This window comes from Homo sapiens, chromosome 14 (assembly GCF_000001405.40).
Source record: "Homo sapiens chromosome 14, GRCh38.p14 Primary Assembly".
NCBI classification, from domain to species: domain Eukaryota; kingdom Metazoa; phylum Chordata; class Mammalia; order Primates; family Hominidae; genus Homo; species Homo sapiens.
The window spans coordinates 96,389,129-96,404,865 of NC_000014.9; the positions used below are offsets into that span (position 1 = coordinate 96,389,129).

Consider the following 15,737-nt stretch of genomic DNA (forward strand, 5'->3'; position numbering starts at 1 on the left):
CCTGTAATCCCAGCACTTTGGGAGGTTGAGGTGGGTGGGTCACCTGAGATCAGAAGTTTGAGACCAGCCTGGCCAACATGGTGAAACCATCTCTACTAAAAATGCAAAAATTAACTGGGTGTGGTGGCACACACCTGTAATCCCAACTCCTGGGGAGGCTGAGGCAGGAGAATTGCTTGAACCCGGGAGGCAGAGGTTGCAGTGAGCCAAGATTGCCCCCTGCACTCCAGCCTGGGCGACGAGTGAGACTCAATGTCAAAAAAAAAAAAAAATAGAATCCCCTTTTTTAACCTACCAATATATATAAAATTATCTAGAAGCTATCCCCCCTGTAACTGTGGCAAGCTCATTTCATGAAAGAAACAGGTAAGTTAAATATTTCATTGTACCATGACTGGTTGAATAACTTTCAAAGTGTTTACCTGCTTAACTGCATATCAACAAGGAATGCAGAGATAAACTAAAAATTTGAAAATGAATCGTGAATTTTAGAATAGTTGAACTAGTAAGTCATTTGAAAGAATGCTGAAGTATATTTTCTAAGTTTTGCACTAATTTTGCATGAATACTTTTACATTTAAACTGACATTACTTTCTTGTTGATTAAAGAAAAGCAAAAAATTGCCGGGCCTGGGGGCTCACACCTGTAATCTCAACACTTTGGGAGGCCGAGGCGGGTGGATCACAAGGTCAGGAGTTCAAAACCAGCCTGGCCAAAATGGTGAAACCCCCATTCTCTACTCAAAATAGAAAAACTAGCCGGGTGTGGTGGCACGCGCCTGTAATCCCAGCTACTGGGGAGGCTGAGGCAGGAGAATGGCTTGAACCCAGGAGGCAGAGGTTGCAGTGAGCCGAGGTCGCGCCACTGCACTCCAGCCTAAAGGATAGAGCAAGACTCCATCTCAAAAAAATAATAAATTTGGTATGAGCAAACTGTTCCCAAATTGAGTTGGCAAAACTTCAAAGCGTTAGTTTATCAAAACAAGTTTTAATGAGAGTTGCATGTATAGAAAAGAAAATGGGGTGGGGACAGAAAAACGAAATATAAAGGCTCCCATCTGTACAAGTGTGCCTTAGCCTTGCAGGAAAAAAAAGCAATAATTTCACCTTTGGCGACCACTTCAGAAAATGCTTCACATATGTCTTATTTAATCCTAACAGCCTTGTTAGGCTGGTGGTATCACTCCTATTTTACAGACAATTTAACAGCATAGGGAAAGTTAAAAGATTGGTCCCAGCCTCCCACAAATCACTGGAGAGCTGAAACTCAAAGCCAAGTCTCATGAGTGCCTGAAAGCCCAGAGCCTCCAAGCTGTCTGAAGATGTTGGGCCACCTCCGTTTTTTGAAACAACCAGTATTTTTTAAAAAGAAGAAGGCCAGGTGGGGTGCCTCACACCTGTAAATCACAGCACTTTGAGAGGCCGAGGCGGGTGGATCACTTGAGGCCAGAAGTTCAAGACCAGCGTGACCAACATGCTGAAAACCTGTCTCTACTAAAAATACAAAAATTAGCCGGGAACGGTGGTAGGCGCCTGTAGTCCCAGCTACTTCGAAGGCTGAGGCAGGAGAATCGCTTGAACCCGGGAGGCGAGGTTGCAGTGAGCTGAGATTATGCCATTGCACTCCAGTCTGGGTGACAGAGCGAGACTCCATCTCAAAAAAATAAATTAAAAATAAAAAGAACAAGAACGCTGGCGTGGTGGCTCATGCCTGTAATACCAGCACTTTGGGAGGACGAGGCAGGAGAGTTTCTTGAGCTCCGGAGTTAGAGACTAGCCTGGGCAACAAACATAGTGAGACCCTGTCTCTATTAAAAATAATAAAAAGAACGAGAAGAAACCACGCACACACAATTGCTGCAAGTGTTAAATATTTGCATTTAAGGAGTTAATGCTTAAGGCATGAAAACAGTTCAATATGATCAGGCTATTCCAAGGGAACTGCGTATTCTTAGTCCACCACAACCTTTATGGTCCAGTGATCACCGAGGTGAATGTTATCTTTTAATTTGTGGATTTATCTCAGCAACTGCATGTATAATCTCTTGTGGAACGGTCAAGTCTAAATTTCTTCCCTTGGTGAATGTGAGCGAATCCCGGGCGCCTACGGGCTCTGGTCGCCCCCAGCCGACACCAGGGGTCTTCCCGGAACGTGCGTCTGGAAACAACCCCCAAGGGAGCTGAGCCGGCGGACCAAGCCGCACCTGCCGCAAGGCGGGACCACGCTAGCGTCGCTCGGGTGTTCGGGAGCCCGAAACTCCATGGCAACAGCTTTTCTTCGCAGCTGAGGCTTACGTCCCGTCGCCCCGGCCAGACCACCCCATGGGAGCGTGCTGAGTAACTCCCACGTGTCGGGGAGAGGCCTAGGCTGTGGGCCATTCCCTCTTCTTCAGAATTCTCATTATTTTTAGTCATCGGGTCAAGCGGACACAGGGATGTGTTTCCAGACTTTCCGAACAATGGAGATTAAAAAGGCACAGCAATCACATGGCCCCCCGGGACAGACGCCCAGGGAGCTTCGGAAAGAAACCATGCACTGCCCAAGGGCTCCCAGTGGGCAGCAAGCCAGGGTGAGACCCGGGCTGCACGCGCGGCGCCGCGGAAAGCACTCGCAGGGACATCCGCCTGGCGCCCAGCAGCCGACAGCGCGCGCAGTTGCGAGCCCTGAGCCCCGCTTCGCCCGGCGCGCCCCGCCCAGCCCACTGCACTACACACCCCGCCCTGCCCGGCATGCCCCGCCCAACCCCCCGGCACGACTCGCCCCGCCCTACCCGGCACGCCCCGCCCAGCGACCGGCACAGCCTGCCCCGTCCCGCCTGGCACGCCCTGATTAGCGCCGGGCACGACACGCACCGCCCCGCCCGGCACTCCCTGCTTCGCCCACGACACGCCCCTCCCCGCCCGGCAAACTGCCCGGAGCCAAGGCCCCGCCCCCAGAGAGAACCTGCCCCGCCTCCCTGGCCCGGGCCCCGCCTCCTTGGCAAGCGAGTGGCGCTTTCACCTTAGCAACCAGCGCGGCTCCCACCATGGCTGAAGAAGAGGAAACTGCTGCTCTCACGGAGAAGGTTATCCGGACCCAGAGGGTGTTTATAAACCTGTTGGATTCCTACAGCAGCGGAAACATCGGGAAGGTGAGCGGCGGCGGCGGCCCAGAGCCTCACGCCAGCTCTCAGCTCCCAGCCCTCGGCCCCCGGTCCGCAAACCCAGCGAGGGTCTGCGCCCCAGGGCGCTGTCGGGGCCTTTCCTCAGGGAGGGTCCCGCGTCCTGGGCACCACCAATGCCCCCTGGACCCCAGTCCGCACCCAGGCTGGTCAAGAGATTCTACATGGAAGCTCAGGTGTCTGGAAATCACTGGTCCATCCCCTGTTCCTCCTTTTAATGAGGGGAAACTGAGGCTAAGAGGCAGGGACTTGCCCAAGATCACATAGAGAGTTGAGGCCAGAACCTGGACAGAGACTCCAGGTCTCTTGCCCCCTCCTAGGTTCTCTTTCTACCCTTCCATCGATTTTGAAGCAGGCAGCTAAACGAGAAAATAAATCAATTTTTTTTTTTTGAGACGGAGCCTTGCTCTGTCGCCCAGGCTGGAGTGCAGTGGCGCGATCTCGGCTCACTGCAAGCTCCGCCTCCCGGGTTCACGCCATTCTCCTGCCTCAGCCTCCGAGTAGCTGGGACTACAGGCGCCCGACACCGCGCCCGGCTAATTTTTTGTATTTTTAGCAGAGACGGGGTTTCACTGTGTTAGCCAGGATGGTCTCGATCGATCTCCTGACCTCGTGACCCACCCGTCTCGGCCTCCCAAATTACAGGCCGAGTAAATCCAAAAGGGATTACAGGCGTGAGTAAATCAAATTTTTATATTGCCCATGAAGCGTTTTTCATTCATCCATCCCTTCAATATATGGTTTTTGAGCATCTATTATGGACCAGACACTGTTTGGGTCCCCGAGTTCCATTAAGTTTCCTCACCTTTCTGTGTCTTTATCCCTGGAAAATGAAGATATTCAGAAAAAGGGCTCTGGGGCCCTTCATGCTAATATGATCAGTTGTCAAAAGAAAGCCATGATTTTATCATTCCCTGTGGGTAGGACCCGTCCATCTGAATTCTGTCCTCTAGAGCTACAGAGAAATCTAATCTCACCCTGGACAGACTTCTCTGAGGCTAATGACTGCACTTTCGAACAGGACAAATCTGCTTAAAATAGGATGAGGCTACAGTACGTACAATCTGTATTAGTTTTCTAGGGCTGTGGTAACCAATTGCCACAAACTGGATGACCTTATAAAACAGAAATTATTCTCTCGCAGTTCTTGAGGGCAGAAGTCCAAGATCAAGGTGTCAGCAGGGTTGGTTTCTACTGGAAGCTCCAGGGGAAGAACTGTTGCTTGCCCCTCTCCTAGCTTCTGGTAGTTGCCAATAATTCTTGGCACCCCTTGGCAGTAGACTCCAATCTCTGCCACCTTCTTCACATGGTGTTCTCTCCCCTGTGTCTCTGTGTCAAAACTTCCCTCTTCTCATAAGGACACCAGTTGTTGGATGAGGACTCACCCTATCCAATATGGCTTCATTTTAACTTGATTACATCTGCAAAGACCCTATTTCCAAATAAGGCCACATTCACAGGTTCTAAGAGGACAGGAATTTGGTGGGGGTAGACGCTATTTAACCCAGTGTACCATCTAAAATGCATCCATCAAAAAACAGAGATTTAGGGTGGGCGTGGTGTAATACTAGCACTTTGGGAGGCCGAGGTGGGTGGATCACCTGAGGTCAGGAGTTCGAGACCAGCCTGGCCAACATAGTGAAACCCTGTCTCTACTAAAAGTACAAAAATTAACCGGGCGTGGTGGCAGGCGCCTATAATCTCAGCTGCTCTGGAGGCTGAGGCAGGAAAATCACTTGAACCCAGGGGGCGGAGGTTGCAGTGAGCCGAGATTGCACCACTTCGCTCCAGCCTGGGCAACAGAGTGAAACTCCATCTCAAAAAAAAAAAAAATGGTGACATTTAATCTAACATACACAGGATGAGGCTCAAGCCAGAGAAAATAGTTCTCAGAGGGCACAGCAAAAGCACAGGTTCCAAAGTAGGAATAGGGTTGGCGGTTTTTGTATGCACAGTGCTAGGGGGCAGTGCACCAGGGCTTCCTGGGCCCACTTCATTAGGTGCAGCAAGTACCATGCCCAGGGCCCATGAGACTTTTAGGGGCCCACAAAAAGTGTGCTAATTTCTTTTAAAATCAGAAGGAAACAAATGAAATCTTAGAGTCAATGAATGTGTTTTTCTTTATAGCATGCAATTGAGAAATATAATGTTTAAATTTTTTTTTTAATGGAGGAAGGGGCCCAGGGAGCCCAGAATGTGGCCCTACTCAGCTCCTAAGCCGGGATGCACTCATGGTCTGTGCTCCATAGAAATTTATTACATAGATTAGTGGAGCAGAGGCCAGCACAGAGGGCCAGGTCATGGATGGCCTTGGCCAGGAGTTTGGTTTATCCTCTAAATTCAGTGGGAAGCCTTGAACAACGCAGGGGTTAGGGGTTTTGTTTTTCAAAAAGATACAGATACAGGCTGGGCACAGTGGCTCATGCCTGTAATCCCAGCAATTTGGGAGGCCAAGGCAAGCGGATCACTTGAGGTCAGGAGTTCGAGACTAGCCTGGCCAACATAGCAAAATCCCATCTCTACTAAAAATACAAAAATTAGCCAGGTGTGGTGGCTTGCGCCTGTAATCCCAGCTACTCCAGAGGCCGAGGCAGGAGAATCATTTGAACCTGGGAGACAGAGTTTGCAGTGAGCCGAGATCACACCACTGCACTCCAGCCTGGGCAACAGAGTAAAAATCTGCCAAAAAAAGAGATACAGATATAGAGAAGACAGTCGAAACTCTGCACATAACTCTTATTTATTTATGTATGTTTAGAGACATGGGTCTCATTAACGTCGGCCAGGCTGGACTCGAGCTCCTGGGCTCAAGTGATCTTCCCACCTCAGTGTCCTGAGTAGCTGGGACTGCAGGCTGTGTATAACTTTTGTCTCCCCAGAACTAAACTACTAATAACCTATTGTTAACAGGAACCCTTACCAATAACATAAAAAGTCAACACATATTTTGTACACATCAAATATACTGCGTTCTTACAATAAAGTAAGCTAGAGGAAAGAAAATGTTTCTAAGAAAATCATAAAGAAGACAAATATATTTACTATTCATTAAACAGAAGTGGGTTGTCCTAAAGGTCTTCATCCTCTTTGTGTTCATGTTGCATAGGCTGAGGCAGAGGATGAAGAAGAGGGGCTGGTCTCAGGGGTGGCAGAGGTGGAAGAAAAGAAGTGGATGAGTGGACCTACAAAGTTCAAACCGGTGTTGTTCAAGGGTCACCTGTACAAAAAACGGAGGTGATATGAACATGATTGAGATTAGGAATGAAGGAGAATCTGGGCATGGTGGCACACGCCTACCTTCCCAGCTGCTCAGGAGGCAGAATGGGGAGGATCACTTGAGCCCAGTTTGAGGCTACAGTGAGCTGTGATCGCATCACTGCATTCCAGCCTGGGAGGTATACATAGGGCAGAGTAAAACCTTGTCTCTAGAAAAAAAAAAAAAAAAAAAAAAAAAAGAATGAGGGAAGGGAGTTTATCTCCTTCCTTAAATTAATCCCCTTTTGATTTTGAATTTTTTTTTTTTTTTTTTTTTTTTTTTTTTGAGACAGAGTCTTGCTCTGTTGCCAGGCTGGAGTACAGTAGCATGATCTTGGCTCACTGCAACTTCCACCTCCTGGGTTCAGGCGATTCTCCTGCCTCAGCCTCCCGAGTAGCTGGGATTACAGGCATGTGCCACCATGCCCAGCTAATTTTTGTATTTTTAGTAGAGACGGAGTTTCACCATGTTGGCCAGGATGGTCTCGATCTCCTGACCTCGTGATCTGCCTGCCTTGGCCTCCCAAAGATCTTGATTATTTTTTATAACAATATTTTTGTAATGAAACTTCTTTTAGTATACAGAGATCTTTTTCTAGCAATCCTCCTGCCTTGGTCTCCCAAAGTGCTGGGATTATAGGCATGAGCCACCACGCTCTGTCCAGAGATCTTTTTCAAAAACTTTTCAATAACAGAATTTTCTAGTTGGTCCTTAATTAATTAGGGCCTTTCTCAAATTCCAGGTAATTACTGATCATCTGCTCCAAGGAATATGGGAGTGGGAATATGAGGAATATAAGAGAAATGGAAGCTGTGTCTCGTCGTTAGGCTTACAATCCAGTTGGGCAATGCCACCCCAGCCCCATCTCTTTTTGCTGGGCTTCAGTTTCCTCAACTGTGAAAGAGGATAATAAAATTGAATATGTATGTTTGAGAGATAAATGAAATGAAAACATACATAATTTACTTGGGAGAAAAATATTCCACTAGGAGGTTGAAGCTGGCAATCTTGCATGCTAACCTGGACTGTTTTCTATCAAAATAAATGAGGTGGGACTTTCTGTTTATTTGGTTTTATTATATCTTTATTCCCAAGGTATGGTAATGCAATGATTATTTATATATGCTTAATAGATAAATTAAAATAAAATGATTGTTGACATATATAAGTAAGTATTGACATATAAACGAATGAAACTCTTAATCACCACAGAAGCCACTTCTAAGGATAGCTTTTGGAAAGCAAGAAGAGAAACTTCGCCAACTTCTTTCTATTTCATTATTCAATACTGTAGCCACTGGCCACATGTAGCCATTGAACATTTAAATGTGGTTAGTCCACACCAGCCTGGGCAACAACAGCAATACCCCATTTCTACAAAAATAAATATAAAAATAAAAAATTAGCCAGGCGTGGTGGCACACACCTATAGTCCCAGCTACTCAGGAGGCTGAGGCCGGAGGATTGGTTGAGGCCAGGAGTTTGAGGTTGCAGTGAGCTATGCTTGCACCACTGCACTCCAGCCTGAGCAACAGAATGAGACTCTGTCTCAAAAAAAGAAATGTCGCTAGTCCAAATGGAGATGTACTTTCAGTGTAAAATGCAGATTGAATTTCAAATAAAAATAAAATATCTCAATAATTTTTATATTGATTACATATTAAGTTGATAATATTTTGGATATATTGCATTAAATACCACAGCATTTAATTTTTTTTTTTTAGGCGGAGTCTTGCTCTGTTGCCAAGGCTGGAGTGCAATGGCACAATCTAGGCTCACTGCAACTTCCACCTCCCAGGTTCAAGCAATTCTCCTGTCTCAGCCTCCCGAGTAGCGGGGACTACAGGTGTGCACCGCCATGCCCAGCTAATTTTTGTATTTTTAGTAGAGACGAGGTTTCACCATGTTGGCCAGGCTGGTGTCGAGCTCCTGACCTCAAGTGATCCACCTGCCTCAGCCTCCCAAAGTGCTGGGATTACAGGCATGAGCCACTGCGCCCAACCTCACAGCATTTAAATTAATTTTACCCTTTGTTTTCACTCTTTAAAATGTTGCTACTAGAAAATTTAAAACTACATAAGTGCCTGTAGTCCCAGCTACTCAGGAGGCTGAGGCAGGAGGACCCCAGGAGTTTGAAACCAGCCTAGGCAACATAGCAAGACCACATCTTTAACAATAAAATAAAATAACCTATGTGGCTCCTATTACATTTCTATATTTCTGTTGGACAACACAAACATCATCACTGTGACCCAGCTCTGCCTGCTGCTAGAGGAGTGCAGTATCCGGAAACAAGTTAATTAAGCTCTCTGACCCTGAGTTCCTCATCTGTAAAATGGGGAATTATAACAGTACCCACTCCTCCAGGAATGCAATCAACTTAAATGAGATGACAGTGTGCAAAGCATTTGCTTTGCCTTGGTGGCACCCAGCAAGCACTCGGGAAAGGTAAGTTTCTAGAATCATCATTCACTGGCCCCCTGACTCTAATTTTCTCTTACCATTTGGGAAATTTCTGTTTCCTTGCAGTTTCTATCTAACTGTGTAGTTGGGGCTTCGCTTGAAGAAATTACAGAGGAAGAGGAAGAGGAAGATGAAAATAAGTCAGCTATGCTGGAAGCTTCCTCAACCAAAGTGAAGGAAGGCACATTCCAGATTGTGGGCACGCTGTCCAAGCCTGACAGCCCGCGGCCTGACTTTGCGGTGGAGACGTACTCTGTAAGTCCCGGAGGCTCTGGCCAGGAGTAGACAGAGGGAAGAGTCACCTTCCGCTCCAACGCCTTGACAACTTGTTTTACTGTTTGCCTCCCCTCCCCTCTCTTCCACAGACATGGCCAGGTTGAGGGAATGGCTTTCTCCTGTAATGGAGATTTACCTCACAGACCCCACTTTTAATTTTCGGCCAAAGCAAAGAGTTTAAATTAGATAGTGTTGGAAAGGATGGATCTAAGTTGGACTTTCAGACTCATACAGTTCTCCTCTTCAGCATATTCTGCCTTGCATTATCCAAGACGAGTCTGTGCCATGATGGGTGCCATCTGTGAAGGAGAAATAGGCCAGGCGCGGTGGCTTACGCCTGTAATCCCAGCACTTTGGGAGGCTGAGGAGGGAGGATCGCTTAAGGCCAGGGGTTCGAGACCAGCCTGGGCAACATAGCAAGATCCTGTCTCTTATATTTATGAAAATAATTTTTTAAGAGAAACATCCTTTGGTAATGCACCACTCAGGAATAATATACCACTGCTGTCTCCAGAAACAATGCTGTCTCCACGTGACAAATTCAACACAGTCCTAGTCCTGAGACATTTAAATGTCTGAGAAGAAGTGGCCCTCTTCTTCTCCTGGGCCAACTCCTCCCTTACCCTGCCTGCTACTCTCTGGAGCCTACCATACAGCTTTCCACATGCTGTACCCTGGAGTGGCCTTCTCTCTTTTTTTTTTTATTCATCCTTCAAGAGTTGTGTCTCTTCCTCCAGGAAGCCGTTCATGATTCCTACTTCTCCCTCACTCCCAGTTTGGATTCTGAGCTCTTTTCTGAGCTCCCATATCATCCTTTGCCTGCCTAGATCATAGTGCTTTTCACACTCGTTGTTATCACCTGTCTATCGTGGGGGTCCATGGACACTGACTGTCAGCTCCTTGAGGGTGGAGACCGTGACTTGTTTATCCCTGTGTTTATCCATGTATCTGTGGCACCTAACACAGCCACTGCCACAAAGTGGCCTCAATAAACACTTGTGGAATGGACGAATGCATCCCCTCCAGACATCTTTGGGACCTTCCCATTCACCTCCTTCCCCTGTCTTCCGGGTATTCTTTCCCATTCACCTCCCTTCTCTCTCTTCTTGCCACTGGCTTCTTCCTCTATACCTACACATATGCTCAAATCATTCCTGCTGTAAAAAACACTTAACTTGGCCTCCCTGCTGGCCACCAGCCTCTTTCTCTGCCCCGGCCCCTGCCACCACTGAACTTCAGGAGACCAGCCGCATTTGCAGGTCTCACCCCTTCACCCCCGCCATTCACTGGTCTATCCAATGCTGGCTGGCCCTGCCCACAACACTTCACAGGAGGTGCCCTGGCCGATGTCACCAGCAGTCCCCTGACTCCCGAGGGGCTTAGCTCACCTGGCTTCACAGCAGCAGCCTGGCTTCCCGAGAGAAACTCGCCTTCCCTTCTTGTGCCTCGGCTCTGCACTGACTAAGCGCCCAAGTCCTCCTTCCCAGCTTCTTTCTCTGGCTCCTTTTCCTCTTTTACCCTTTAAATGCGGTTTTCCCCAGAGCTCACTCCCTTCCTACAACAGATGACCTTCCTAAATCTTATCCAACCCTATAGCTTCAGCTCCCCATATAGCCAGTGCTTTTTTTGCCTGTCTGCAGCCTCCAAATCCGACTGCCTCCTAGACCAGTCCCCGGTTGTCCTGCAGGCATTGCTGAATCAACATATCCAAAATCATATTTATTAGACCCCGCTACAAAAACAATCTTTTTTTTTTTTTTTTTTTTTTTTTTGAGATGGAGTCTCACTCTGTTGCCCAGACTGAAGTGCAGTGGCGCGATCTCGGCTTACTGCAACCTTCGCCTCCTGGGTTCAAGCGATTCTCCTGCCTCAGCCTCCCGAGTAGCTGGGACTACAAGCGCGTGCCACCACACCCAGCTAATTTTTTGTATCTTTAGTGGATACATGGTTTCACTAAGTTGTCCAGGCTGGTCTTGAACTTCTGGTCTTAGATGATCTGCCCACCTTGGCCTCCCAAAGTGCTGGGATTACAGGCCTGAGCCACCACGCCCGGCCCAAAACCACTCTTTGTATGACTTTGTACTACTGATTTTTATTAAAGACCTTGCTATCTCTATCAATTGGGGCTGTGTTGGACCGCATGTAATAGAAAACAGAGGTGACCCAAACTGGCTTAATAAATAAGGAAATTCATCAGCTTATGTAGCTAGTGGCCCAGAAGTGGAACCGGCTTCAGAGCTGATCCACAGGCTCCAGCTCCTCTTCCTGCCCCTTCCTGGGCTCTGCCCTCCTTGAGGGATGACTTTATCTTCAGGCTGGCAGTAAGGCTGCAACAGTCCAGGGCCTTAGTTCATACACAGTGACGCTCTGGCAAAGCAAACTTCCAGAAGGTCTCAGAGAAAGGACGATGGACATTGCCAGCAGTCCCTGGCAAGCATCTCTTTGAGTCTCACTGTCGTGAATGGAATCATTGTCCCTTTCCTGAGCCAGTCACTTACCCTTAGATCAATTAGGCTCATCCTTTAAGCCAGAAGAGGGAGTTAATTTCCCGCAGGCTGAGGAGTATCTGAAGCAAAATTGGGGTTCTGTTGGAGAAAAGGAAGAGGAAATGTAAGTTTGTAGACAACGAATAGTGTCTTTTATCCCGTTCATTATGCACTCGCCTTCCATCAAAGCTGAAAACCTCAGAGAGCTGTGGGCTCTTCCCTTGCCCTTGACTCCTGAATCCTATTGGTCACGGGGTCCTCAGCACACCTCTCTGTCAGGTGTCCAGTCAGCCCCTCCTTTCCATTCTCATAGCCATGTGCCTTAGTCCTGATCTCCAGCATCTCTCACTACTCACCTGAATTTGATTCTGCGAATGTTTCCTGTGCACCCTAATGATCCACAGATGAACGTGGAGCTCACGGCTTGGCAGGGACTCTGTGACAGTAGATGTGGGGACAGAGGCATGCACAGAGCATCACCCAAGGCTCTCTGAAAGGGGCACCTAAGGAATTCTCAGTCTTATCTAGAGAGACAGGCAAATGAAGCTTCAAATCCCTCCTGCCAAACAGATCGGGGCCTCCTGTGCTCTGATCTTGAGATCCTGGAGCCTCCATTAGCACAAAGTCCTGCAGATGGCCCTCCCTTGGAAGGTTGGGATCTACTGGAGATGGTGGGGCTGAGGCTGGTCTTCCGTGGTTGAGTGGAGCTTGCAAGACAAGTAAGGGAGGAAGGAAACACCATGCAAGGGGGAATGCCTGGGAAAGTATATGGTGCGCTGTGGCAGAGAAAGAGCATGGGTTATGGGAACCACAGGGAAGACACAAAGGTGGCAGAAAAGGTGGGGGAGAGTGCTCGCTTCAGCGGCACATATGCTCAAATTGGAATGATACAGAGAAGACCAGCAAAAAATGAATAAAAGGTGAGGGAAAGGTGAGAATGGAAACCGTTAGCCTGGTTCAGGTTATGAAAGGTGCCTCTACCTGGCTCAACAAGTCACCTGCTATTCCCTGAGCATTCTGGGCTCTGCCAGGTGAGCTTGTATTCATCCTTCCAGCCCAACTCAAATATCTTCTCCTATGAGACAAAATCATGTCTTTCTCTTAGTCCATTGAATCTCAGATGTACCTCTATGACAGCCCTTTCCACATTTGGGTCTTCTGTGTCTGGCTGTACAGGTTGCACACTGTACAAGAGTGCCTGGCTAAGGGCGTGAGTAGGGGCTGAAGAGCAGCCTGTTATGTTGGCTGTCCTGGGCCCCAGAGTTTAGCCCTTCTTATAATTTTTTCACCAAGCAGGTTACCTTTTTTCTCATTTGTACAACGGCTTCATATGTGCTTGGTTGGGCCCTTGTCTACATTAGACCATAATTATTTGGTATAATATAAATCTTCTCAAGAAAGTGCATACACAGATGCACACACACACACACACACACACACACACACACAATTCTTCTTAGTATCAGCAGCTATATATTATTCATTTTTGCCTCTATTACTACAGTCAAAAGCAGGGCCCACAAATGTTTGTTGGGTGAACAAATGAATGCACAAAAATGGTCAGTCCCCATCGGGTCAGGACAACCATTCTCCTGAAAATGCGGCTGTTTCATCTTAAATAGAGCCAACCATAATTTGACACGTGTGCGTGTTTTTCTGTGGACACCACTCCCACCTGCTTTTACAAGCTGGAAACATAGATGCTGTATCTTCTTTCTCTTGGGCCACATCTAGAATACACATCTTTGAGTCCTCGTATTCTCCCAGTGTTTTCTTCTTTTCTTTCATGTGTCATTTCTGGATCTTGATCCATCCTAGGTGTACTGGGAAGGTAGTTTCCTTTCCCACTGTCATGCTACTGGTAAAGTAAAAATCAATGTTTGGATCAAAATTGTCAGTGGCTTCCCTCTTGCACATTCAGCCAAGAGAAGGAAGTGAATGGCTGGTGGTATGGGTCGAGTTGTTTCTCCCCCACCCCCAAGAGATATATTGAAATCCTAACCCCCAGTATTTCTGAATATGGCCATATTTGGAGATAGGGTGTTTGCAGAGGAAATCCAATTAAATGGAGGTCATCAGCCAGGCGCAGTAGCTCACGCCTGTAATCCCAGTACTTTGGGAGGCCAAGCGGGCGGATCACCTGAGGTCAGGAGTTCAAGACCAACCCGGCCAACATTGTGAAACCCCGTCTGTACTAAAAATACAAAAATAGTGGGTGCCTGTAATCCCAGCTACTCGGGAGGCTGAGGCAGGGAGAATTGCTTGAATCTGGGAGGTGGAGGTTGCAGTGAGCTGAGATTGTGCCACTGCACTCCAGCCTGGGCAACAGAGCAAGACTCTGTCTTAAATAAATAAATAAATAAATAAATAAATAAATAAATAAATGGAGGTCATTAAAGTGGTCTTATCATCCAATATGACCAGTGAGCTTATAAAAAGGGGAAATTTAGACACAGATGGCACACAGGTAGAACATCATGTGAATATCAAGGTGGAGATCAGGGTGATGCATATACAAGACGAGGAACAGATTGCCAGCAAACAAGCAGAAGCTAGAGGAGAGGCACAGAACAGACTCTCCCTCTCAGCCCTTAGAGGGAACCAACCCTACAACACCTTGATCCTGGGTTTTTAGCTTCCAGAACAGTGAGACTTTGGTTGTTCAAGCCATGCAGTTTGTGGCAGTTTGTTACAACAGCCCTAGAAAACTAATGCAGATTCATCCAAAAGAATCTAGGGAACAGGGCTGGAGAAACTAGCAACCTAGTGCATGCTGTTGAATTTAACAAGGACGTATTAACCTTGCCAAGGCAGAACTGTCATTTCCTAAGGAAAGGCATCAACTTCCCTTTGTTTTTCAATAAAGGAAGAGACCCAGCTTGGTCTAAAAGGTTCTGCTTTAATACAGTTGGTCAAGGAACTGCGGAAAATAGCTGATGTTCAGGACAATGGGAATAACAACTAATGCAAATCTTAGTTTGGAAATGCGGGGTCCTTTTATGGTTCTCTTAATGCACTCAAGGTATTGTACTATTGGGAAGTGTACTGGTATTCATGCAGCAAGGATTGACTAGTTAAAACACAATGATCAACAGCTGGAACCGAGATTCACGCCTGTAATCCCAACCTTTTGGGAGGCCAAGGTGGGCAGATCACCAGAGGTCAAGAGTTTGAGACCAGCCTGGCCAACATGGTGAAACCCCATCTCTACAAAAAAGAAAAAAAAAGCCAGGCATGGTGGCATGTGCCTGTAGTCCCAGCTACTTGGGAGGCTGAGGTATGAGAACCACTTGGACCTGGGAGGGGGAGGTTGCAGTGAGCTGAGATCACGCCACTGCACTCCAGCCTGGGCAAAACAGAGTGAAACTGTGTCTCAAATTAAAAAAAAAAAAAAAAAAAAAAACACCAAAAATGATCAGCAAAGCAGCAAAGTTACTTCTATTTAATGTATAAACTTTACATTTTTAATCATTAAAAGTTTCTGTATTTTTAAAATATTCCCGGCTGTCAACTGTAATAAGGTACCTTACATCTAGAAAGAGAACAGATTAAATCCATCTTGAGAATTCTATGACAATCCACATTCATCATTCATCAGCACTTCTGAGTGATTCGTGGTATATAATTGCTCAAATAATCTTGCATAGAGTTTGAATTAGTTTTAAATGCCTCACTCATTTTCTTTCAGTGTGTTCTAATTCTTCCCTTCTGAATTGGAGTTTAAACAGCATGCAGAAATAGAACCTAAGATTATTATGCAATTTTTAAATCATCTGTTCCAAGCTGTTTTCATAAACTTCTTTGTTACTTGAAAACTACACACAGAAGAGAGTCACAATTTCATTTTAAATAGAAATCCTCCTGCAAGTGTTTCCTGTGGGACTCCTCAGTGTAGCATATGTATTTTGAAAATTATCATTTCATTGAAATATGAAGGTTACCTTGTTAGCGTCTTGCTGCAAATGGCTGTCAATTTTCTTTTTCAGGCCATCTCTCGAGAAGACCTTCTCATGCGCCTGCTGGAGTGTGATGTTATTATTTATAACATCACTGAGAGCTCACAGCAAATGGAGGAAGCCATCTGGGCAGTCTCTG

At 46.8% G+C, this 15,737-nt stretch overlaps 1 protein-coding gene across 10 annotated transcripts in view, besides 1 other annotated feature; it reads left to right on the plus strand.

The window, feature by feature from the left end:
- Positions 2,560-3,069: a silencer, noted in NCBI's record as "silent region_6054". NCBI's record gives its function as "represses an Ori minimal core promoter by ATAC-STARR-seq in GM12878 lymphoblastoid cells {active_cell/tissue: GM12878}" and the evidence as "EXISTENCE:reporter gene assay evidence [ECO:0000049][PMID:35858748]".
- AK7 (adenylate kinase 7) overlaps positions 3,000-15,737 on the plus strand; it is a 97,300-nt gene continuing 84,562 nt past the window's right edge. For all 10 annotated transcript variants that reach the window (XM_006720021.3, NM_152327.5, NM_001350888.2 and 7 more), the window contains exons 1-3: positions 3,000-3,131; positions 8,947-9,135; positions 15,629-15,737. In XM_006720021.3, coding sequence (XP_006720084.1) covers positions 3,027-3,131; positions 8,947-9,135; positions 15,629-15,737 — 403 coding nt within the window. In that variant the 5' untranslated portion in view covers positions 3,000-3,026. The remainder of the gene's footprint in view (positions 3,132-8,946; positions 9,136-15,628) is intronic.